Source organism: Homo sapiens, chromosome 2 (genome assembly GCF_000001405.40).
Source record: "Homo sapiens chromosome 2, GRCh38.p14 Primary Assembly".
NCBI classification, from domain to species: domain Eukaryota; kingdom Metazoa; phylum Chordata; class Mammalia; order Primates; family Hominidae; genus Homo; species Homo sapiens.
This window is the reverse complement of record NC_000002.12, coordinates 192090274-192115264: the sequence shown is the minus strand read 5'-3', so window position 1 is coordinate 192115264 and position 24991 is coordinate 192090274. Positions and strand designations below refer to the sequence as shown.

Sequence of the window (24991 nt, the reverse complement as noted above, 5' to 3'; positions counted from 1 at the left end):
TTTCTATTCTGTTCTATTGATCTATATGTCTCTTTTTATGCCACTACCATGTTGTTTTGATTACCATAGCTTTGTAGTATACTTTGAAGTCAGGTAATATGATGCCTTCAGTTTCATTTTTTCTTACTCAAGGTTGCTTTAGCTAATTAGAAACTTTTGTGGCTCCATATGGATTTTAGGAATTTTTTTACCTGTGAGAAAAATGCCATTCAAATTTTGATAGGGATTGCATTGAATCTGTAGATCACTTTGGGTAGTATGGACTTTAAAAAAATATTTAGTTGACAAAGATTATATATAGTCAGCTATATAGTGTGATGATTTGATATACATATACATTGTTTGATGTTTATCACAATAATATCAATTAACACATTCATCATCACCCATGCTTTACATGAGAGCCTCAGGACTTGTTTATCTTATAACTATCAGTTGGTAGTATTGACATTTTGACACTTTATTATTTCACTTATTTGTGTCTTCTATAATTTCTTTTATCCATGTTTTATGTGTTCAGTATATAGAACTTTTACCTCCTTGTTTAAGTTTATTTACAAGTATTTTATTCTTTTAGATGCTACTGTAAACAGAATTGTTTTCTTAACTTATTCATCATTAGAGTGTAGAAACTCAAGTAATTTTTGTATGTTGATTTGATATCCTGCAATTTTAGTGAATTTGCTCATTAGTTTTGGTGAATTCTTTAGAGTTATATATATATATATAGGATTATGTCATCTGTAAACAAAGACCATTTTACATTATTCTTTGCAATTTGGATGCCCTTTTTTTTTCTTTTCCTTGGTGAATTGCTTTGGCTAGGACTCTCAGTGTTATATGGAATAGCAGTAGAGAGAGTGGGCATCCTTGTCTTCTTCCTTATCATCCTTGCATTTTTATATTTTTAATTTATATTTTATTTATTCCAAATATATTGTCAGAATTTAATGTTAACTATTATACTGATAAAGCAAAATTATCTGCCACAGAAACAGGTAATATTATCCAAACTTTATTTTCATATAACATAATATGATTCTTTTGGATCAAGGGCTATATTCCTGTTCTCTACAATCTGAGTTGTTTATTTTATATTTTCTTTTGGGTTTTGTGCTTTAAAGAGAAAAGATGTTTATTATTGGTTAAGGGCTATCACACACACACACACACACACACACACACACACACACACACACAATTTCCAGATTTTATTCAATATTGTTCTCAAGTAAAAAGTAAATCTGTGTAGAAACCCATATCGGTTTTGATTGTCAATGTTATTAAAGCATAGAGGTGAAAAGCCACACTTTGAAGTAAAAGAGATTTAAGATGAAATCCCTGTGCTACTGTTAGCAATGTGCCCTTTTCTGAGCTTCAGTTGCCATCAATGCAATGGGGATAATAATAGTTCTTGCTTCATTAGGAGGGTGTAGATATACAAATACAATAAAGTGCTTGGTGAATACTAAGTACCCAGCAACTGTTAGCTACTATTACTCTCACCTGCTTTTGAGCAACTGCCAGTATTAAACTCACTGTTTGAGAACTTTTATTATTTTCATATATAAGCTTATTGCTTATTGAAAAATACCTTTCATTTTCCTCTACTATTTCTAGGGATGCTAATTATATTTACCAGAATATATATTTAAAACAACCTAAACAGCTTATTAGAATTGATTTAATGTGATTAAGTGATATGTTTATTCCACATTATTTCTATGCAGAGAAAAGAAATTTCTTAAGGAAGAAATATCCCAAACAAAAATATGTTCTATAATCTATCTATCTATTTACTTTGCGTAACCATAAGACCAGTGTTCATTCATGAAAATAGTTTTCTTGTTTGGTGATAACATATGATATGTGATAACTAAGACTCAAGAATATATAAAAAATAATTTACCTTTTCAAGGAACACTATAATTTACTGAAAAATATCAATATGCAGACTTGTCTACTCAACCTGCCCAATTATTAATCCTTTAATTATTATCAATCACTGGGAGAAGAATAATACAACTGACATAATCTTCTCTAACATTTGCTACAGTGCCAATACTTTTTCAATAGTGTATAAGCCTAAATATTTTCAAATCAACAAATACTCTTATTCATAATATTAATTTTAAGTGCCTCTACAACCTTCAACATTAATTAAATCATGTTAAAACACTTGAAATATACAAAATATAGATTTTCAGATCATTATTTCCAAGAAGCTATTTTATTAGTCAGTTTCCACACTGCTGACAAAGACAACCCAAGACTGGGTAATTATAAAGGAAAAGAATTTTAATGTACTCACAGTTCCACGTGGCTGAGGAGGCCTCACAATCATGGCAGAAGGTGAAAGGCATGTCTTACTTGGCAGCAGACAGGAGAGAATGAGAGCCAAGCAAAAGAGGTTTTCACTTATAAAACCATCAGGTCTCATGAGACTTATTCACTACCATGAGAACAGCATGGGGGAAACAGCCCCCATTATTTAATTATCTCCCACCAAGTTCCTCCAATAACACATGAGAATTACAGGAGGTACAATTCAAGATGAGATTTCGGTGAGGACATAGCCCAACCATATCATTCCACCCCTGGACCCTCCCAAATCTCATGTTCTCACGTTTCAAAACCAATCATGCCTTCCTAACAGTTCCCTAAAGTCTTAACTCATTTCAGCATTAACTCAGAAGCCCAGAGTCCAAAGTCTCATCGGAGACAAGGCAAGTCCCCTCCATCTATGAGCCTGTAAAATCAAAAGCAAGTTAGTTTCTTCCTGGATACAATAGAGGTACAGGCATTGGGTAAATACAGCCATTCCAAATGGGAGAAATTGGTCAAAACAAAGGGGGTACAGGCCCCACGCAAATCCAAAATCCAGTGGGGCAGTAAAATCTTAAAGCTCCAAAATGATCTCCTTTGACTCCATGTCTCACATCCAGGTCATGGTGACACAAGAGGTGGGTTCCCATGGCCTTGGGCAGCTCTGCCCCTGTTGCTTTGCAGTGACAGCCTCCCTCTTGGCTGCTTTCACGGCCTAGTGTTGAGTGTATGCAGCGTTTCCAGGTGCACAGGGCAAGCTGTCAGTGGATCTACCATTCTGGGGTCTGGAGGATGATGGTCTTCTTCTCTCAGCTCCACTAGGCAGTGCCCCAGTGAGAACTCTGTGTGGGGGCTGTAACCCCACATTTTTCTTCTGCGCTGCTCTAGCAGAGGTTCTCATGAGGTCTCCATCCATGCAGCAGGCTTCTGCCTGGGCATCCAGGCATTTCCATGCATTCTCTGAAATCTAAGTTGAGGTTCTCAAACCTCAATTCTTGACTTCTGTGCACCCACAGGCTCAACACCACGTGGAAACTGCCAAGGCTTGGGGCTTGCACCCACTGAAGCCACAGCCCAATTTGTACCTTGGCCCCTTTTAGCCATGGCTAGAGTTGCTGGGACACAGAGCACCAACTCCCTAGCCTGCACATAGCAGGGGGGCCATGGGCCCAGCCGACCATTTTTAATTCCTAGGCCTATGGGCCTGCAATGAGAGGGGCTGCCACAAAGTTCTGTGAAATCCCCTGGAGACATTTTCCCCATTGTCTTGGCAATTAACATTTGGCTCCTCTTTACTTATGCAAATTTCTGCAGCTGGCTTGAATTTCTCCTCAGAAAATGGGTTTTTCTTTCTTCATAAGGCTGCAAATTTTCCAAACTTTTATGCTCTGTTTCCCTTTTAAAACTGAATGCTTTTAACAGCACCTAAGTCATGTCTTAAATGTTTTGCTGCTTAGAAATGTCTTCCATCAGATACACTAAATCATCTCCCTCAAGTTCAAAGTCCCACAAATCTCCAGGGCAGGGGCAAAATGTCACCAGTCTCCTTGCTAAAACATAGTAATAGTTACCTTTACTCTAGTTCTCAACAAGTTCCTCATCTCCATCTGAGACAACCTCAACCTGGATTTCAGTGTCCACATCATTATCAGCATTTTGATCAAAGCCATTCAACAAGTCTCTAGGAAGTTCCAAACTTTCCCACATTTTTGTATCTTCTTCTAAGCCCTCCAAACCGTTCCAACCTCTGCCTGTCACCCAGTTCCAAAGTCGCTTTCACATTTTTGGGTATCTTTACAGCAGCACCCTACTCTCCCAGTGCCAATTTACTGTATTAGTCCATTTTTAAGCTGTGTTAAAGACATACCTGAGACTGGGTAATTTATAAAGGAAAAGAGATTTAACGGACTAACAGTTACACGTGGCCAGGGAGGCCTCACAATCATGGCAAAAGGCATGTCTTACATCGCAGCAGGCAAGAGAGAGAATGAGAGCAAAGCAAAAAAGGGCTTCCCCTTATAAAACCATCAGATCTCATGAGACTTATTCAGTACCATGAGAACAGTATATGGGGGAAACTGCCCCCATGATTCAGTTATCTCCCACCAGGCCCCTTCCACAACACATGGGAATTATGGAAACTACAATTCAAGATGAGATTTGGGTGGGGACACAGCCAAACCATATCAACTATGTAAATGCAAAATAACAAACACACATCTTAACAAGACTTCATTCAGCTATGTTAAAAAGAAACAGCAATAAATGAAAAATTAATGGTACAAAGAGATGTGCTAGAATTGCAACAAATCTGACATTTCTGTGTTTATAACAAGCTCGTATATGGTAAATAGTTGATAAATGCTATTTATCCTAGAAGAAATAGAAAGAATTGGGTAAGGATTGTCTTGGAAGGGAAGAGAGATATTTAGACAGAAAAGAATAAAATTACAGTTGGAGTGTTATTCAAAAGATGAAGGATATCAGCTAAAAACAACAAAAACTTTCCTTTACCACTAGCACACTAGTTGCCATCACTCTTATCTTCTCTTGTTTATAATTGTCTATATCCTCTAACTCCACTTCCTAATCACCACTCAACCCATTTCAATTTGGTTTCCTACCCCATCTTACCACATAAATAACTCTTTGTAAAGTCACCAATGACCTCTGGGTTATGAAATCCAGTGGACATATTTTAGTCCTCAACTTGACCACTTAGATGTGGGTGACTCCATTGACCCCTTAGTTCTTGAAAATCTTCTGTTTCTTCAGCTTGTATTGCTCTCTGGGCCTAGTTGTTTATCATGCTTCTAATAACTACTTCTCTGTCTCTTTTTGCTGGCTCATCTTCATCATCCAGACATTAAATATTGGAGTTCCTCAGTGAATAGTCACAGACTCCCCCCATCCTTTTTCTCTGTTCTTCTTTCTTTTCATCTCCTTTCCTTATTCTAAATTTTCTCCCTAAGCCATATCATTCATACCTATGACTTTATGATCTATATGCCAATGGAATCTTCACTTAGGTCTCTCATCCAGAATTCTCTGAGGTTCAGACTTGGAAGTGTAATTGCTTACACAATATTAGACAATTAAGGATATCTCAAAAATGCTTTAAAAGAACCTACAACATAATATGTCCAAACCAAATGAGTTATCCTCCTACACACAGGCATGCACACATTTCGCACATATCAAAATCTGGAGTTCTAATTGAAGTTCCTACTTCAATTCAATTTTTTAAGTCAGAAAACAAATGGTTGTTTCAATATTTGCCCCTTCCTCTACCTCCCCACCATATGTAGTGCGTCATCAGGTAGTGTGGACCTGACAGTCAGTCTGTCTTGAAGCTGTCTACTTATTTTTATCTTATCTATAACAGAGATAACATTGTAAGTGTTCATTAAATCCAGAGGCATCTTCAGAAATTATTTATTGTTGGTTAAAAATTTAACATCTCTTGGTCAGGTAAAAGAGGTTAGAAATAAATGCAATGAGGATCAATATACTAAGGAAACAGATACCTTGAAGGGATGGGAAATTGATAAGAGGTAGCAACCAGCAGTGAGTCGATAAAACAGAAAGGGATTTGCAAAGATTTCACTTGCAGTAGATTGCATGTGAATCAACAGTATATGTCTGCTGATTTTTTAAAAATCAATAAAGGATCCATAAATAAGAATATAGTACATGAACTCTCATACTAATTATTTATTTCATATTGTTCTTGATATATATTTACTGGGGACAAATGCGTATGACATAAAATTTGCCATTTTAACTATATTTAGGTGTGTAATTCAGTGGCATTAATTACGTACACAGTATTGTGCAGCCATTACCACTACTTATTTCCAGAACTTTTTTACTACACTAAACAGAAACACTACCCATTAAGCAATAACTTTCTACTAGTAACCTTTAATCTATTTTCTGTCTCTATGAATTTACCTATTCTAGGTATTTCATATAAATGGAATCGTGAACTATATGTCTTTTTGTGTCTGGCTTATTTTGCTTGGCATGTTTCATTAATGTTGTAACATAAATCAGCACTTCAGTGCTCTTTATGGCTAAATAATATTCCATCAGTATCTATATATTACATTTTTTAATCTATTCATAAGTTTATGGGCACTTGTGTTGTTTCTGCCTTTTGGCTTTTGCGAATAACACTGCTGTGAATATTGGCGTACAGGTATCTGTTTGAATAATTGTTCTCAGTTATTTTTAGTATACACCAAGGAGTGTCATTGCTGGGCTAAATGATAATTTTGTTTAACTTTTTGAGGAACCATCAAACTCTTTTCCACAGTGACTGTACTATTTTACATTTCCACCCACATACAGGGTTCCTCTCATTGTTAATTTTTCAAGTATAGTATTAATTCAGTGTTTGATAATTTAGAAATCATAAAGAATTTGTTGCAATGTGTTAACGACATTAAAGAATTTAAACACGAAGGTTAAAAAGCATCAGCACAATGACCTGGAAAAAGACTTTTAGTGTAAAGAAGGCTATGGAATAATCTAATATTTATTTTCATTTAAAAAAAGATTACATTTAAATAATGCCCTGTCTTTCATACATGTGGATTACACTAATAATCCATATGAATATTGCATCCAATTCAAGTTGTTGTTAGGGAATCAGAAACATTACTCTGATTTAGCTACTTTTTGTTTTGTTGTATTTTGTTTTGTCCAAGGTCCAAATAAGCAAAAGTATTCATCTTGAATTTACTGGCTAGATTAGTAATTTGTCTATGGAAAATATCAGAGTTAATTGCCTGCTCTAAAAATAAGTTTTTTAAAAAATTGACCTGTTTGAACTAGGTAAGATAATTGATCACATATAACGAACGACTAGCTATCTGGTTACACTTTTTTCTATTCAGTGCCAGAACAAAAGAAAGAAATTTAGTTTATAACACATTGTCATTATGAAGTTATGACAGAAATTATCTGTTTTCTAAAAAAAAAAACAGTTATATTGTTTCTATCTTTGTATAGAATTAGAATTAGAGAGATAGTTTTGTAAGGCAGATAGAGGATGAATAGGATGACCTTTTAATTTCCCATTTTGCCTTGTGATTTCTTGATTGTTCTGCACTACTGACATACTGAGTCAATTTTATTGGGATACAGGAATTTTCATTCTTACTGCAGTGTATATACTCACATTGCCATACGTGGAGAAAACACTTGAATTATTATATTTGGGAAACTAACAAAGACTTCAGTGTCTTATAAACATAGGAAGAATATCTTGTGAATGCATATACATTTTCCAAGTCTATAAAAAACTTTAGCTCCTTGTTTTGATAGACTATCAGCATATGAGATTCTAGAGATTGTATAAATTGGGCAGTTCTGCTTTAAAAAAGCTATTTTTTTCCTAATACTATATCTTCATTTCCTACAAATTATTTTATCTAGCATAGCATTTACACTGACGTTCATGGTAAGATATAAAAACATTCTCCTTGGTAAATTTAAGAATCTTTTTAAAATGTCTGAAGTAGAAGAGAACATAAAGTTTTCCAGGTTCTCTAGCTGAAAGAAAGAAGGAAGCTCTGGAAATTTTCTTTTTCTTTTGTGCTAATCCATGACAATATCAAGATTCTTCATCAGTAAGTGATGCTGAAGCACCCAGAATCCAGGGTTCAGTTCATGGGTATTGAATCAGTAGTGCCTTAATCCTATGTGCATTTAACATTAATATTATTCATGCTTTATCATAATGTAATTCTCTAACTGAAAAAGTTTTAATAACTCCACAGTAAATAGAGAATAAAGTACAAACACTTTTAGTCTTTTTTCTCAGAATATTTGGAACTCATTTTAACTCTCTTTTCAGCCTTATATTTCACTATTACTCATCAAATACTCAGGGTATAAAATAAACCGTACATTTTACTCTGCCTTACTCCCTACATGCCCTTCATGTAATCCCAGCCAAATAGACATGCCTAACTCTTTGACTCCACCTATAAAAGTCCTACTTACTCTTCAAGTCCAATTTCAAGATCAAATGCCATCATTTCCAGTAAACTTCTCTCCGTTCACTGAATGGGAAATAATTTTCACCACATTGCCACTAAAAGAACTTTTGCCACTATTGATGTATTTTTACATGTTATCTGAAATTAAAATTAGGCTTTATGTGCTTTATTTTTTCTATTTGTGAGCTCCATGGGGACTAGGACAATATATTCATCTTGGAACTTACCAAAACACCAAAAAAAGTGTCATGCAGATAGGGAGTACTGAAGTAGAGTTTATTATTTTGAATTGAATGAATTTTACATTTTCAAGCATAGATTATAAAATGTTATTTTTAAGAAGAGTAAATTTTATTATTCATTAAAGAAAATAATTAACACATGGGTAAATCACGGACATCTTTTGAAAACAGTGTAGGCTAAGTGTTGTCAGTGTTTTAGAACAGAAAATAACATGAAATGGTAACTTTCTGAAAATAACTTTTTGGTTTATTATCAAGTTATACATTTATTCTATAATAAGAAACAAAAACATCCATAAAAATGAAATTAATTTTATTTCCAATATCAACAATAACTCCCATATGTACCAAGTTTCACTTCTAACCCCACAAAGTAGTACATAGTTTATGTATTTTTCTGTACATATATTTTATGCATTTTTTGTACATATATTTTTGTGTTTAATGGCAGTTTATCATGACCTTTTTTATCTTGATAAATATGCTCCTCAAACATTATTTTTAATGAATGCCTAGCATTCCTTTCTTATCTCCATAATTTCTATTTTTGGACATTTCAAATATCCTAATTTTTTACTGTATTTAAATTATTTTAGCTTCATTTATGTAATTTAATCATTAGCTCATCTTGGACTATTTTCTTGAGATTAATTCCTAAAAATGCAAGTGTTCTTCCCAAGACATATGTGTATTGTTAAAGCTATTGATATTCACTAATAACATGCCCTTCAAACATTTTTTATTGCCAATTTCTTTTGGCAACAGTAGTATTTTGGAATGCCCAATAGTGACTGTGTTAAGCACCCTATTTCTGACACAAGTTGCATTCTCTAAAGTGTTCCTCAAAATTGGGATATGGTACAATTCTTATCTATTAGATATTGAAGTACTTGATAAAGAAAATGCAGTTGGATTAAGGATATAATAACTTGGATCCTTTTTTACCTTCCATTTTCTGCATATATGTTTTGGAATTAGTTTTATTATGGCACATGAATGGCATGTAGTATATGATGACTTAGTATTGCAAATTCAGAAATGCCAACTGAATTAAAGAAGCTTTCTAGTTCTGAAGTTAACTTGCCTAGGTTCAAAGTGTTTCCTGCCACTTACCATAGTGTGATGTTGGACAACATACCTAACAGCTCTTAGCCACCATTTCATTATTCACAAAATAGAAATAATGACAATACCTTCTTCGAAGGGTGGTTGTGAGGGATAGATGCAATAATGCATATAAAGTAAATTGCTCAGTGCCTTCCAACTAGAATGTCTTCACAAAATAATAGCTGTTATTAATTTTACCTATAATATTTCAAAAATATCTGCTTAAAATACAGGCTCATTACTTGATAGATATGCTCAGTAGGTGGTTTTATTTATTGTAGAATGTATATTACATAAGGGGGAAATGTGAAAAATAATATTAATTTTATGTGTACTTCAGTAACACTTCATAAAATATGTATATAATCAACCTCTCTATCTCATGAACATTGAAATAATTTGGGGAAAAAACACAGCTTTGTGTCACTTTAGAGTAGGTCAAATGAAAAGAGTATGTTGCCCAACATTACTACATCAATTAAACTTTATATGAATATTTAAAGGATTCTGGTAATAATTCATGTGACAAAATTCAAAAGCAGCCTTTTCAATAAATGAAAAGTTTCCAGGTCAAATCTCTTCCCGACATTCATACATATTTTCTTGTCTTGCGTTAACATGAGATAACAGTCAGGGTTACAATTTTACCTATAACTAACTTAAAGAAATAAGACAGGTAAAAAGAAAAGAACTGATTTCATGACACAAATATAGAATTAAACTGTCAAGATTCGAAATGTTCAATATACCTCATTTAGAGTAAGAATTTTAAATTCAAATAATTTTCTTTGAATATGATAGGAAATGAATGTATTGGCCAGAAATTTGTGACAATTAATTGCAGAATGGCTGAATTGTAATGAAAGGCTCTAAGGAAAAAAAAATGATGAAATGAATGTGCTGTTTGCTTTCAAATCATTTACAGTTGAATAATTTATGTTATCTTTAATTCATCCAGTTAAATTATCCAAGATGAATACAATATGAATAGAAGAGGTTTAAAATTGTCAGGTTTTTGCATTAAAATGTTTGCCAGTAACCACTTTCTATTTTTTATTACCATTTTAATGGTTTCATATATTGCAATATGAGTTAGAAGACTAAGCTGGAGTATACAATGTAATGAGTTTCCAGGGTTATAAATATTTGACCTATGTCTTGAGACATTAAAAGAAAACCTCTTATGTAGATAGGTTATGTATTCACTCAAAGAAAACTAACCTAAGTGGAAATTACTCTGATCTGCCCCCTAAAATTTCACCCACCATATTCTTTCCCTTTCTCTGAATAACAGCATTCTTCAGTTGTTTATGCCAAAAACTTTGGAGTCAACCTGATTTTCTCTAAACGCTACTTCTGTCAGCAAATCCTGTCAGAAGCTACCTATGAAATAAATTCAGCGTACTTAGAAATGCCTACTGCTACCCCCTTTTACCTTAAGCCAACATCAACATTTTATCTCTTGTTCTCTCTCTGGATTGTTAAAATAGTCTCTTAGTTCTCCCTGCTTTAGTGGTTGCTTTCCTTTGCTTTCTTTTCAATACAACCATCAGAATGTGCCTTCATAATGAAAGTTGGAAAGCGTTAGTCCTCTCAAAACTCCCGGTGGCTTTTCCATCTTGCTCAGAGTAAATGCCAAAGGTCTTATAATAAACTTCACAGCAGTATACTGATCTAGACCCGCTGCTATTCCTCTGATTTTATCTCGTAGCACTATCTTTCTTTTTCCCTCTACTCTCTCAAACACACCAAGCATGCCCTCACCTCAAGGCTATGGCATCTCTGCATATAAAACAAAGACATACAATTTCTCATATTCCTTCTCATTCTACTAATGACCCCACCATTGCTTTGATTCTTACCAAGAGAGCCCTGTAATCAAGGTCTAAATGTGACTTAATTTACGGTTCATATAGCATTCTACTAGGTTCTTTACCTGAAGAGTTGAAAACAAGACTACCTTCCTGTAAGCTTACTTAACACAAAGAATTAGATACTGAGTCAGAACTCAGGTTTCGTTAATGTCTAATTAGCAAAAGAACAAGATAAAGTAGGAAGGCTAGATCCAAGTCCTAGTTGAACTAAATGATTACTGTACATCTGAAATGGAAGCAAGACAAAGACCAATTATTCTAAGGAGAAACAAAAGAGGGCAGATGTCTTAAGGTGAATCCAAAACTAAAAGGTCCATATCCAGGCCGTAATCCAAGCAGAGGTGTGAACAGGATATGAGAAAAAATCTAATACCTGTCATTGGTGAAAGTACTTATGAGTGGTCAGTTGGTACTAAGAAAGGGGCGTGGAGAAAGGAAATACGACAGCAATTGTACCCACTTTGGGATAGTGATATTCATAAAAAGAATTTCCTTGGGAGCAGGGATAAACATCAGAAAACAGAGTTTTAGAAAAAGAGAAGATCAAGAAGTACCACGTTCGATGAAACACTGAGTTATAGGACAGTGAGTATCATTGATAGAATAGAATTTAATTTCTGAGTGTCTGGGCAGCCAGCTCCAAGTCTGAATTAGTGAGAAGTCACTATTCCCATCATTAATGTCCAGAGTGACCCAAAGTTTTTGGGAAAAACTCAAGTAGTCCCAGATGCAGTATTCCACACCACGGAATGCTCATAGAAAAAAAAAATGAGTTTCATTTTAGGGATCAACTACAGGTTGCAATTTTCAATAGGATGGTCAAGAAAGACATTATTGAGGCCAGGAGTGGTGGCTCACGCCTGTAATTCCAATACTTTCGGAGGTTGAGGTGGGCAGATCACCTGAAGTCAGGATTTCAAGACCAGCCTGGCCAACACGACGAAACCCCGTCTCTAGTAAAAATACAAAAATTATCGTGCCACCTCACTCCAGCCTGGCGACAGGTGAGCCGAGATCATACCACTGCACTCCAGCTTGGGTGACAGAGCAAGACTCGATCTCAAAAAAAAAAAAAAAAAAAAGAACAAGAAAAGAAAGAAATTATTGAGAAGATGATATTAAAATAAAAATAAAAGGAGGGGAAGGAGAGAGGGAGCCATGGAGATATCTAGGAGCAGAGCATTCTAACCACTGGGGACAACTGCAAAGGTCCTGTCTTAAGAATTGCAAGAAGGCTAGAGTAGGGGAGCAGAGTGAGGAGAAAGAGAAGCATGGAAAATAGGCTTGGAGTTGAGGCACACCCGTGGGACCCTATACACAACCATGGTTAAGACTTTGTGTTTTATTCTGAGTGAAAGAAAATGCTCCGAGATGGTTTTTTAACAGAAGAATACGTGATCTGTGTGCTGGTGATAAGCTTGTAAGCATGTCCTTTATTCCTGGACTAACCACTGCAAAATGGTTAGCTAAAAGCTGAAAGAGAAGTAAATGCAGGCTTCATTTTTTTTGTTTTTCTTTTTTATGTGATAATAGGTTCTTAGTATATGAGCTTCAATAATTTGTGCATAGTGTTTTATATACCTCTCCCAGACATACTATTTATTATTTAGCTTTCTAATTCCTTCTAATTTTGTAGCTTAGTCACGCCAAAACTAAGTTAAATCACATCTATGGAGCTTTTGTATGTGCCAGACATTGTGCTGTATGCTTTATATGTAGAATCTCATTTACTCTTCCAACAGCACATAATAATCATCACCACCATTTTATTGATAGGGAAACTGTAAAGCACAGAACTTAGGAATTCCAGAGCATGTATCGTCACCGGAGTTAACATCATACTTGTTTTTGTGGACCTGACTGTCCCCTTCAGATATTTTCTTTAGGTTGCCTAATATTTCGTTACAAGAGAGTACATTCTCCAGGCTGACTAGATGTCTAAGCGAGAAGACAGTCTGCATTTTCAGTCTTTTGTTATAGCATGAGATGCTGCCTGGGACATAGCATAGTCAGTCTAGTGATTCAACATATGTACAAATGAATCAGAACACAGGGTTCCTATCCCAGCTCATCCATTTGCCAGCTGTGTTTCTCACTTTGGTTCTTTATAAAATAACAGTACCTAAAGTAGGATTCAAGCCCTATTAGATTTTGAGATCACATTTTAAGAGAAAGAATACAAAATTAGGCATGAAAGTGAGTATTTATTCATGTAGAGAAAATAAAACATAGCAAAATATGAATTTTAAAAAGTTAACAAATACCACACAAATTATAAACTGCAGAAAAAAGTAACTATATTGTTGTTTTGTAAATAACATGATCCTCTAGAGTTTTTTTCATTTTTTAATCCATTTTTGGCTATATATTCTTCAATTGCCTCTGCACATGACTTCAATTTGGTAATATCACACAACTAATTACACGGTAAAATTATTTTGGGTAATAACCCCAGTATTGTTCTCTTCCAGCCCTGCAGTGAAAGCTGCCCATCAGACTCTGAGGAGGCTGCATAATTAAACTCTACTGTTTCACTAGCTAAGCTGCTGAAACACAGTAAACCAAGTCCTGGGAAATTTCTTTTTCATGGTATACTTAACATCCCATGAACTATAATGTGATATGGAAATCCAGTTTGCAATGCTCTGTTCTTCATAAAACACAGAGTGGCATTATTCTCAAGTACAGTTTATAATAAGCGAGAGGAAGGAGATACAGCTGGTAAAATTTTGTTCTACTCACAGATAGCTAAGAAACTTCATGTGTCTCCATAAAGGAGTAATATAAAATTTGTGCAAATAAGTTGCAAATTCAAAAGGAACTCATATAAGGAAACATATTTGTGATGGTATACACTCCTGAATACTTAACATTTTGATCACCGTGAACTATAATATATAATCTGCATTTTATGGTTTTCTGGATGCTTGGAAATTTCAGGAGTATTTAATTTTAAAAAGATTGTCAACATGCAGATAAAAAATCAGATTATTTTACATCTATAAGTGAAACCTTGTTATCCCCTTCATTTGAGGAAATCCAAGGAGTTTTAAACAGCTCTACTTTACTGGCTATCTCTATACTTAAGCCACTAGTTGGTTTTTGGTTTGTTTGTTTTTAGCATTTAATATTAGTGTGTGTTTTCCCATAACTTAATTACCAAATTAATAAAAGGGTCATTCTTCACTAAGTATCACAGTAGTAGTGAGTGAAGATAGTCATTCTACCCAAACAGCCTTTGTTCGATAAGGTTAAGTGCAGTAACCAGAAGTTGGAAGTATAGAAGATGTGCTTTGAAAATGCATGCTAGAAGACTTCGGTCACAGTGACATGACAGAGGATTGTTGGAAAATAACATTTGAAGTCAAACTTTCCTGAAAGCCCAGGCATGAGGCAAGGCTTTCTGGACAAAAGTTTCCAGCAGACCACAGTCTGACACACCATCATGAACAAGATCAGATTTTAAGCCTCCAAGCCAATCAAGAAATTACCTTGAAATGTGCGCAGTGTATTTTAAGTAAAACCAGTCTCTGTAGGCACTCAATATATGTTTGTTTAATGTAATTAAATTTGAATTAAATTCAGTAAGGCTGGTTTCCTAATATAAAATATGAAAAGGCTTATTGAATTTCAAAATTATTTTTATGGCTATTTTAAAGCAATTACTAACTTTGATAATAAAAGTGTGAACAGGACTGTAATTCATTATTAGGCTGGCACTTCTTACTGTGGGCATTTGTCAATAACTTTTCTGGCCAAGATATGGGGTGATCTTTGGAATACACTTGAGTAATACATATAAAAACAGTTTGAAAAACCAAAAGCTGTCTATATTTTTTCCACTGATCTATTTGTCAAACTATGTTGATTCAGAAGCACTACTGAACCAAAATATGCCATCACTCCTAAGATGGAAAAAAAAAAAAGCAATCCCATCATTATTATGTATTGTGGGAATACATATGCATGGGAGTAAAACCCTAGCTATTTGTGCAAGTTTGATAGACAGCTAATAATTAATTTGATAGTTGTTCAAAAAAATCAATACCAAAAAACTGAAGCCAACTTCTGTAAGTTGTGGGGCTTCGTATATGGGCCATCTGAAATCGCCAAATAACCTGGACAATTTAAGTTATTCTTACATAATTGTGAATAAAGAAAATCATTTTGTTCTGAGTTCAAGGGTTTAGAAAAACAGAGCATTGCCAACCCAAGAAAATTCGAAACACAATGGGAACAAGAAATCTATATGCAAAAGTGTCTGGCTTGAATAAAAAAGTAAATCTAAAAGCTGCCACAGTATCTAATGTCCTAAGCCTCTCAAAGAATTAGTTCATGGATTTACTTACTGTCAAGGATTGAAACCTACCTAGACATTATTTAGGTAGTAACAAATAAACACACAAACAAAAATATATTTGTTGGTTACTAAGGAATGAAATTTACCTATAATAGTTACCCAGAGTTTCAGTTCCTATTTCTATGTGAGAAGAACAAAATAACATTTTGTTTACTATAAAGATTGAAATGGTAACAACCTGAAAAGAGGAAAAAAAGGGAAGGAAAATAGGGAAGGAGTTCTCTGTGGACTCTCCTTCAACTGAGTGTGTCCATGCTTTGTGCTGGTTCCCTCAGTATGGGTGTCCTATGATGGTACCTGGCTGTCTTTGGAGAATATGAACCAAGTACTAAAGTGGTTTTGGAAGGTTTGCATTGTTGAGAGTTTCAAAAATATAATACCTCTGTTTTAAAAAACCAACGCCATTAAGTTTCATGCCTGGTTTCTATAACTGAAGTACTCTGAAAAAATTCAAATCAATTTTTTGGTGAATAACTAAACTGAATAAAATGTCATCAAAGTCTTCTCAAGACTTATTCTAAAATTTTGTAGTATTCACTCACATACAAATAATGAATTATGATGATCGGCTAGCTGGCAAAGATGTGCTTTTAGCCATCCTGCTGTCCTTCCTGGAGGTACCATTTTACCCAGGAGAGAAAATCTTCAGGAACTGCAGCTTTATTGAACTGCCAATTTAGCTAATTTTTATTTATTTTTCAAACTTTACTTTTATCATCCAATTGAGAGACGAGCAGCAGATGGCTTCTGCCTCCAGCTCAGCTGCCCTGCTATAAACTAAACTGGAAAACATGGTAGTACCTTGGTTCTCCCTTATTCGTAAATCTCACTGTCAAATCAGGAAACGTCTACTGGCAACCTCAGAGTATTTCCTTTAAAGACAGTCCCTTAACACTTTCCTACTCTCGTTTGAGCAGCTTGTCTTGTCAGATAATGAAGAAATTTTTTGGAGCAAATTATTTTAATTCCGAATGGCAGACAAATCAATTACTTTGAAAATATTGGTTTCATATTGACCAAACATGTTCAAATATTAAACACACATAATTTTAAATATTCTTTTTCAAACAGGGAGGTCAAGGTTTCATTCAAATAAGGTTTGAATTGACGTTGTTTTGCTTGATAGAATGTTACCTGGCACTCACTGAGCAAAAAGTCACTTTTGTATTTAAAGAACATGTAAGCTAGTATTTTATTTCACTTTGCTATTGTGGTTAAATTCAAATTTGAGAATATTATTTTTAGATCACTTCCTAGCCAAAAGCATTGTCAAGTGATGATGTGTACTATTTAAATAGAAAGCACAGAATTCACGACATTTTACCTCAGTATTTGGTTAATTGTGGCAAATTAATTGTCATTCACCAAATGCTTGTGACCTTTCTTTTCTTCATTCTCCCTTCCGTCCAAGCTGCTGTTGAAAACAGAGACTGTTGTTATCACTTAATAATACTTTGGCCAAGTGTAAATGTGATATTATACGTATTGTGCCTAGGATCCTAACTGCGCACCTTCTTTAATTCATTTATAAAATTTTTAGGCTAATACGAGCTTTGAATGCAAACACATTCTCTTCAGTGATATATCTGTATAGTCTAATTAAAAATAAAAATATAAAGACCTTAATAAATACTAATAATGGAGGTCAAAGGGCACATAGTGAAGTGCAGTTGAGAAATGACGTGACCTGTGTATTTGTCTTATTCCTGCTATATCGCATAAACAGGAGAATGAATTGAAAATTGTAATTAAGATTTATTCCATTTTGTTAAGATTAAAAATGAGCAGTCAAATAATTCTTTCTCTGAGAGAAGAGTGTATGGTAGGTCCATTGAGGGTGTCTGTTGTATCTTAAAATCTATTCGAAATGTTTGGGTGAATTATTGTCTAAATTGACAGATGATTGCTTTTGAGCTAACAAAATATTTCTGTTAGCATAGCTAAAGAATATATGTTAAGGAATATATGCTCTTTGTAAGTTTTGATTGAGTAGATAAGATGATACAGACACATGAATCAGGAAACAAATCAACAATCAACTGGAATTACAACCAAATCTATGTACTTCTGTTGTGAGATCTTTTTACTTGCAATCCTTTGCAAAACGTGCTGTGCACAATGTAGTAAGTATGCTTGTAATAAACAATTAAAGGAGCTTTTCACGTGTAGAAGTGCACGCTTAATTTTTGTTAAATCATCTCAATAAATACTTATAAGTGAAGCCAACATGATTTTCTTAAGTTTTTTGAAAATGTGTGTACCTATAACTGCTGTGCTATTTGCAAGAGGCAGTATACACACAAATTTGATGATTTCATTCTTTACCAAATACTATATTTAGCACATTAAATACTAAGAAATAGCACTAAAATGGGCCGGGCCTGGTGGCTCATGCCTGTAATCCCAGCACTTTGGGAGGCCGTGGCAGACGGATCACTTGAGGTCCAGAGTTTGAGACCAACCTGGCCAACATGGTGAAACCCCGTCTCTACTAAAAATACAAAAATTGCTGGGCCTGGTGGTGGATGCCTGTAATCCCAGCTACTCGAGAAGCTTGGGCAGGAGAATCACTTGAACTCAGGAGGCGGAGGTTGCAGTGAGCTGAGATTGTACCACTGCACTCCAGCCTGGGCAATAAAAGCGAAACTCCACCTCAAAAAAAAAAAAAAAAAAAAAAAGAGAGAGAGAGAGAGAGAGAAGGAAGGAAGAAGAAAAGAAAAAAAGAAATAGCACTAAAATGGACATAAAATATATATTGGTGTTTTAGAACTAATTTTACAAAGACTGAAATTTAAATATACACTCAATTTTAAATTTTTAAAATAATATTCAGAATAATGGGTTCATTTGTAAAACAAAATTGTTTGTAGGCATAAAGGATTAATTGAAAAAATCAGTCATGCAAGGAATATCTCTTATATGTAGAATGAGTATTAATTTCCAAATGACATTTTAAAGAAACCTCTTATAATAGTACCCTTTAAATCACTAAAAATTAATCTAGCATACAGTCACATGTCTGTTGTTTTGTACTAGTGCTCCGTCTACATTTATGTGTATAAAATTTTTTAATTCAGTTGAAAATCTCTTTATATAAAAGGCTCAAACTGTCCTTTGAAATGAAACAGGCCCAATGAATATTCCATTGATTTCATTGTAACATTAATGGGGGACCAAGTCATAGTTTGAGCAGAAGAGAAAGTTAAGTAATATCAACCGCTTTGTTTTTCATAGTAGAACACCCATCCAAATGCCATTTTCCTGCCAGTAAGTGTTCTGTAGAGCAGTGTTTTAAATTCCCATAATACCACTTCTCATTATGAAAACCTCTTCACAATTTAAAGGGTAATAACAGAAGACTAAGCCACTACAAATGTCCAAAACATCTTTTAAGTTAGTCATATGACCTCTGAATATATTAATATCTTAACCTCAAATTAGGGATTATGTCAAAAACTAGGAAGGATACTTCTCTTACATACATTTTATTTGCTGTATATTTATTATTTATTTGCTAAATATTTTGTCAGTTAATTATTTCTTATTTATTGTATATTTAAAGTAAGTTACTAAAAGCTGCGCTCCCAGAGTGCAGAAAGCACTAGGCCTGAATTTAGAAGTGGTAGGTTGAATAACTGATATTTCTAGCTTTGCCATTAGTTTATTGTGAGGATCATTTTGGAAAGTCTTTTGATCTTTGCCTCTACAATAAATTAGTAACAAAATTATCTGTATTATGAGGATTTGTGTTGTTGTTGTTTCTTTATTTTTGTTTGAAATAATTGTTTTCTATATTTCTTTTGCTGCAGGAAAAGTTTTGGGTTTATTGTGTTTTCTCATAACTGTATAATTTTATTTTATTTTAATTTACTTGTGTGTCTGTGCATGGAGATGAGGGCCTTGCTTTGTTGCCCAGGCTGGTCTCGAATTCATGGCTTCAAGCAATCCTCCCACCTTGGCCTCCCAAAGTGCTGGGATTACAGACATGAGCCAACATAACTGTATAATTTTAATATTGCAAGGAACACTCTTAAAAATAAATTAGGACCGGGTGTGGCAGCTCACACCTGTAATCCCAGCAATTTGAGAGGCTTCTCTATGGCTTCAACTATTTTCTCTTACCCAAGTTGCCTTCCAAGCTTTAGATTTGTAGACTCTAAAGGAAGAAGCCTAATAGGACTCTGCAGTCTACACAGAAAGGAAAGCTGGCTGTGGATAACTAAGAACCACATGGCAAAAAAAACTAGTCATTGGGTTCTAGAGGAGAATACATCCATTTCTGTTGCTAGTGGGATGCTGGAATATAAATTTTTCAAAAATCCTTTGTTTAAAGCCAAAAACTGCTAAAAATAGCAGTAAGTTTGAAACTTAATTATTGGAAGCTTAATAGCTCCCTCTCCAATGTATACACTAACAATTGCCAACTGATGTCAACACAAATTGTGAACATGCAAGAAAAACTAATTGTTCTATATTATTTTACAGTTATTATTGATTATCATGCCCTTTGCAAATCAAGAAAAAGAAAGTGTAATAATTCTTAAGGTGAATTTAACAGTTACTAGAGGAGAGGAAGCATGTTTCCAAATACTTTCTTAATCAAACATTAAAATCACAGGCTTCATTTAAAGGGTGTCAACCAAGTATAAATAAAATTCGACTAAATTTTCAAACATGATCTCTGATCACATATAGATAGACTGGTTTAAGAAGAGACTTCTTTCATCAAGTTTGAAAATATTTGTTTTTTTTCTCTCCGAGGGCATCCTCTTCAGCCACAAATAGCTTAAGAGAGGGTAAAAATTGAGGTGTGTAGATTGACCAAACACACACAAACACACACACACACACTGCTAAGAATATTTTGTCCTCTGGCCTCTGGTAGAATATTTTCTACCATTGGCCTCTGGTAGAATTTTATTGAGAGTATTCAGTTACCACTTGAAATGCGTTTGGGTCAGTGCCTTTGAAACCTAGCTGTATGTACATCACGTGGAATACAAGTAGGTTGAGAAGCTGCATCACACATTAAAATGAGAACAAATGCAAAGAAACATGAGGAGCATGATAATAAAAGTTGTATAGCATTCAACTTTTATCTGTGTTGTAAGCCACAATTGTACTCAACCCTCTCAGTCTAAGCTGACAGACTCAAAAACTTCAACCAGAATGAAGTATCTCAACATTTCTCCTTTTCAAACACATATTTAAATAAAGTGGATAAGCTTCATTCAAACCAAATTAATAATAAGTACATCCAAAAGTAACCACATTAAAATGTGACAATGTAGAGAATTATCAGAACTTTACTGCTAATACTGTGAATCTATAAACAACCCACAGGCGTGAGAAAACACAACAAAAACCTAATCCTGGCCATAGCAACATGGATCCATGTGTCTCTAAGACCAGCCTCAACTTAGATGAAAACGCAAGTTTCTTTTCCTTTCACTTCGCTTTTTTTTCTTTTGATTTCTAGTCTTGTCTTCTTACTGTTCTTTTCCCTCTTCTTTTTCTTTTTTTTTTAAGAAATATATTCCTTTTAACATTGGAGTTCTCCAGGTTTAAACGTAATCACAAAGGCTTTTACCTTGGGTTTCAACCCTAAAATCACAGCAGTGGATCTAGAAGTGGCAAATAAGGTCTGATTGGGCCGGGGTCTACTCATTATCAGATGATACAATTTTCTATGGAGATTCCTGGTGCCGTCTCTTTTGTCTGGTTCTCATTCAGCAACTTCAAAGAAAGAGGATAGAAATATCTTACGCTGTTGAAGTCTTGGAATTCAGATTTGGCACTTGCATCCAAATGTTTCTTGTACTATTTTCTACATGGCTAATTATGGCTACGTTTTAAAAATAAGGAACACCTAGCTTTCTAATATGTGATGAGAGATGGGATATTATTGAAACAAGAAAGAGTCTGGGAGTCCCAAATGAACGCTCTTTTGTGGACAAATAATTTATAAGAACATAGAAACAGAATTTGAGATGTATTCTTGAAAAAAGTTATTAAACCAGATCAAATACTACCTCGAAATAAATACATAGCACTAAAACATCACTATCTCCTTGTTTTATTTGTCTTACTACCTGCTTTATCATCTACCAACATTTGTGTAACATCTATTTCTTCCCAGTAAAATGTGAGCTGCAAGAGATCAGGGACACACTGGGTAAGGAGAGCATCTGTCTTAAATGATATCTACAAATAAAGCTAAAAGAGAACAGCTCAACAGACAGCAGAGATGGGCATCTGCCCAACAAAGGCCAGCTGGAGAAATATCAAGAGAAGGTTTCTAATTAAACTCTTAATTTGGGGGTCTATATTGCTTTTCTATTATTGCTGTAATAAATTACCATAAACCTAGTGGGTTAAAACAAGACAACTCTATTGTCTTATAGCCCCGGATGTCAGAAGTCCAAAATGAATCTTACAGGGCGAGTATTAACGTGTGGGAAGGGCTGCATTCCTTATTGATGCTATAGGAGAGAATTTGTGTTTTTGCCTTTTTCAGCTTCTAGAAGTCACCCCCATTCCTTGGTTCATAGCCCTTCATCCCAATGCCTTTTCCCTCTCTGCTCCTTTCTTCACATCACCTTCTACTCACTTGATCTGCTGCCCCCTTCTTACAAGGACCCTTGTAATTACATTGAGCCCAACCAGATACTCAAAGATATTCTTCCCATCTCAAAGTCCTTACTCACATCAGCAAGAATGCTTTTGCCATGTAAGATAACATATTTATAGATTCTGGGGATTAGGATGTGGCCATCTTTGAGAGGCCATTATTCTGCCTACTATAGCGTTCAATACAAACTTCCTTCCCAGCCAGTCCTAAATCAATGAAAAAATATATATTGTTGTTGGGAGCACTGAAGATCCCTGTAAAATATGGAACATCATTTTTTTGGCAGTTTTTATAGTCACCAGATTTCTTTTTAAAATTTTAAATAATCTATAAAGTATCTTTGTGTACCACATACTTGTTAAATGTAAATTCTCATATGGTAATATAAAGGAAGCCTGTATATTTGAAAATAAATATAGAAAACCCTTCACATAGGAAAATAAATGAAGGAGAATATTGGAGAGAGTTTCTGAGTAGCAATATAAAACTTTATTGTGAAAACTTTATTGTGATTCCATTTTTTTTCCACTCATTCAATCAGAAATAGGAGAAAGGATCACACTGAATACAATAGGAATTGTCCCTTGAATATAATATCTAGCCAGTCTTCTGGAAATATTATTTTTGTTACTGAGCTTTATTGAGGGAAAGAGCTGTTAGTTAAGGGTTCAAATCCTGGGCAAGTACCTAGACATCAGTTGTTTAAGTTTCTGATGAAGAAAGCAAGCCGCTGTATGTTTTTAAAACTTTTAAGAGGAAGTAGTCACACTAACATAAAAGAAAAATCCTTCTGAAGAGGCAGCAATACACGTCTCCTGGAGTGAGGACAGGGTTTCAGCACCTAGGTGTCACTGCCCTTTAGGAATTTTATCCCCATCCTTTCACTCCAGTTTTGGATATTTTGGCATAAAAGGCACATAGCAGTTCATAGCTTTTAATGAGTTGGAGAATTACATTGAAATTCAGTACTGTGATAATAACCTCCAAATTAATATTTTCCTTCAGATAAATTGCACTTGAAAAAAAAAACTAATCTTACTGCCCATAAAGTGACGTAATAAAACCACAATGCCAACTATAGCATGCAAAATTCTCCCAGCAAATGTTACAGAGACAGTCCACTTTCTGAGTGTTTGCTCTTTGTGTTTAGCTATTAAAATAAGGGTTTAATTTAAAATGCATGAATAAGCTTCTTACTTGATTGCAGACAAGCAAAGGAAGTAAATATTGTTTTTCTTTCTCTCTTTTAGAAAGCAAATATTCAACGCTTTTCTTTCCTTTGTGCAATTGCAAATTTAGTAGGTGTCCTGGGAATGTAAAGGGGAGTTAGGGGCAGGGGAGGAGGGTATTGAGCATAACTGTTCAGGTAACTGATCTAATGTCCTGATCATCTCTGTGATTTCCCTGATGTTTCTGCTACTGTGTGACTTTCGCTTATGCTGGGATTTATAACCCTGTCATTCACGAATAGGTGTTTGAGAGGAGCCATTAAACAACCATCAAAGCATTAAACAGATACACACGGGGGAAGTACCACAAGTACTGCCATAAGTTGCCTGGAGAGAATCGCTAAGCCTGGCAGCAGACGTGATACTACTTGGAGTAGGAATCTGGGGAGCTGAGAGTTGACAACAATGTCCAGAGGACTGGAGGTGAAAGAGCAGGCAGCTTGAGTGTGTGAGACAGATGCTGCTTTCACCATCTCCCACGTGTAATATTTTCAACACATCAGTGGAGCATTAGAGTTCGTGGCATGCCTAGTGACAGGAATAGAACCATGAAATTGTAATGTCTTGCCAGTTTTAAGATGTAGATGAATAACTTCTTGTCAGAGCAATGAAGTCTTTCTTATCCTATAAAAAATCCACATATAACTAATGAGACTCTTGGGCCATCATACCTGCTCTGTTCAATGTCTTACACTGATTTGGCTGTTCAACTACCTGTGGCATTTGGACCATGAAGACAGGTATTTTCCAAATTGATTAACGCTGTACTAAATTTGAATACAAATGCCTACATCTGAGTTGCATCCTGAATACAATGGGCAAATTTGACATATTATATAAGCTATTCCTGGTGCTCCTACATCAATGATCAGATTTCCATGATTCCTTTCATACAGAAAACATAAAAATTAGCTCATGTCACACATTGTGGAGGGAGACTAGGGATGGCAAGATGTCAGGGAACTGCCATTTTGACTGATTGTCCTCCTGGCAATTTATTATGATAATAGATTGCTTTTTATTATATCACTGCATTTGACTGTGATGATATTTAACTACTGAAGATTAAAGACATGTCATGATGCCAAAGGACTTTATGAATGGACTAGTACATTTTTTCCACACTTAAAATTAATAAAACAGACAATCATAAAAAATTCTGGAAAAACTCAGTCACTCCACTAAAGAATCTACAATTTTTGTCTTTCAGCATTT

The 24991-nt window shown here is 34.7% G+C and overlaps 1 protein-coding gene across 5 annotated transcripts in view, besides 1 other annotated feature; it reads left to right on the top strand.

Annotated features, from left to right (window-relative positions):
* Positions 1–24991, top strand: part of TMEFF2 (transmembrane protein with EGF like and two follistatin like domains 2) — a 245888-nt gene that overhangs the window by 79669 nt on the left and 141228 nt on the right. The gene's annotated exons all lie outside the window — the stretch shown is intronic.
* Positions 3291–3901: an enhancer, noted in NCBI's record as "NANOG hESC enhancer chr2:192976090-192976700 (GRCh37/hg19 assembly coordinates)". NCBI's record gives its function as "activates a minimal SCP1, AML or CMV promoter by ChIP-STARR-seq in primed H9 embryonic stem cells {active_cell/tissue: H9 hESC(primed)}" and the evidence as "EXISTENCE:reporter gene assay evidence [ECO:0000049][PMID:30033119]".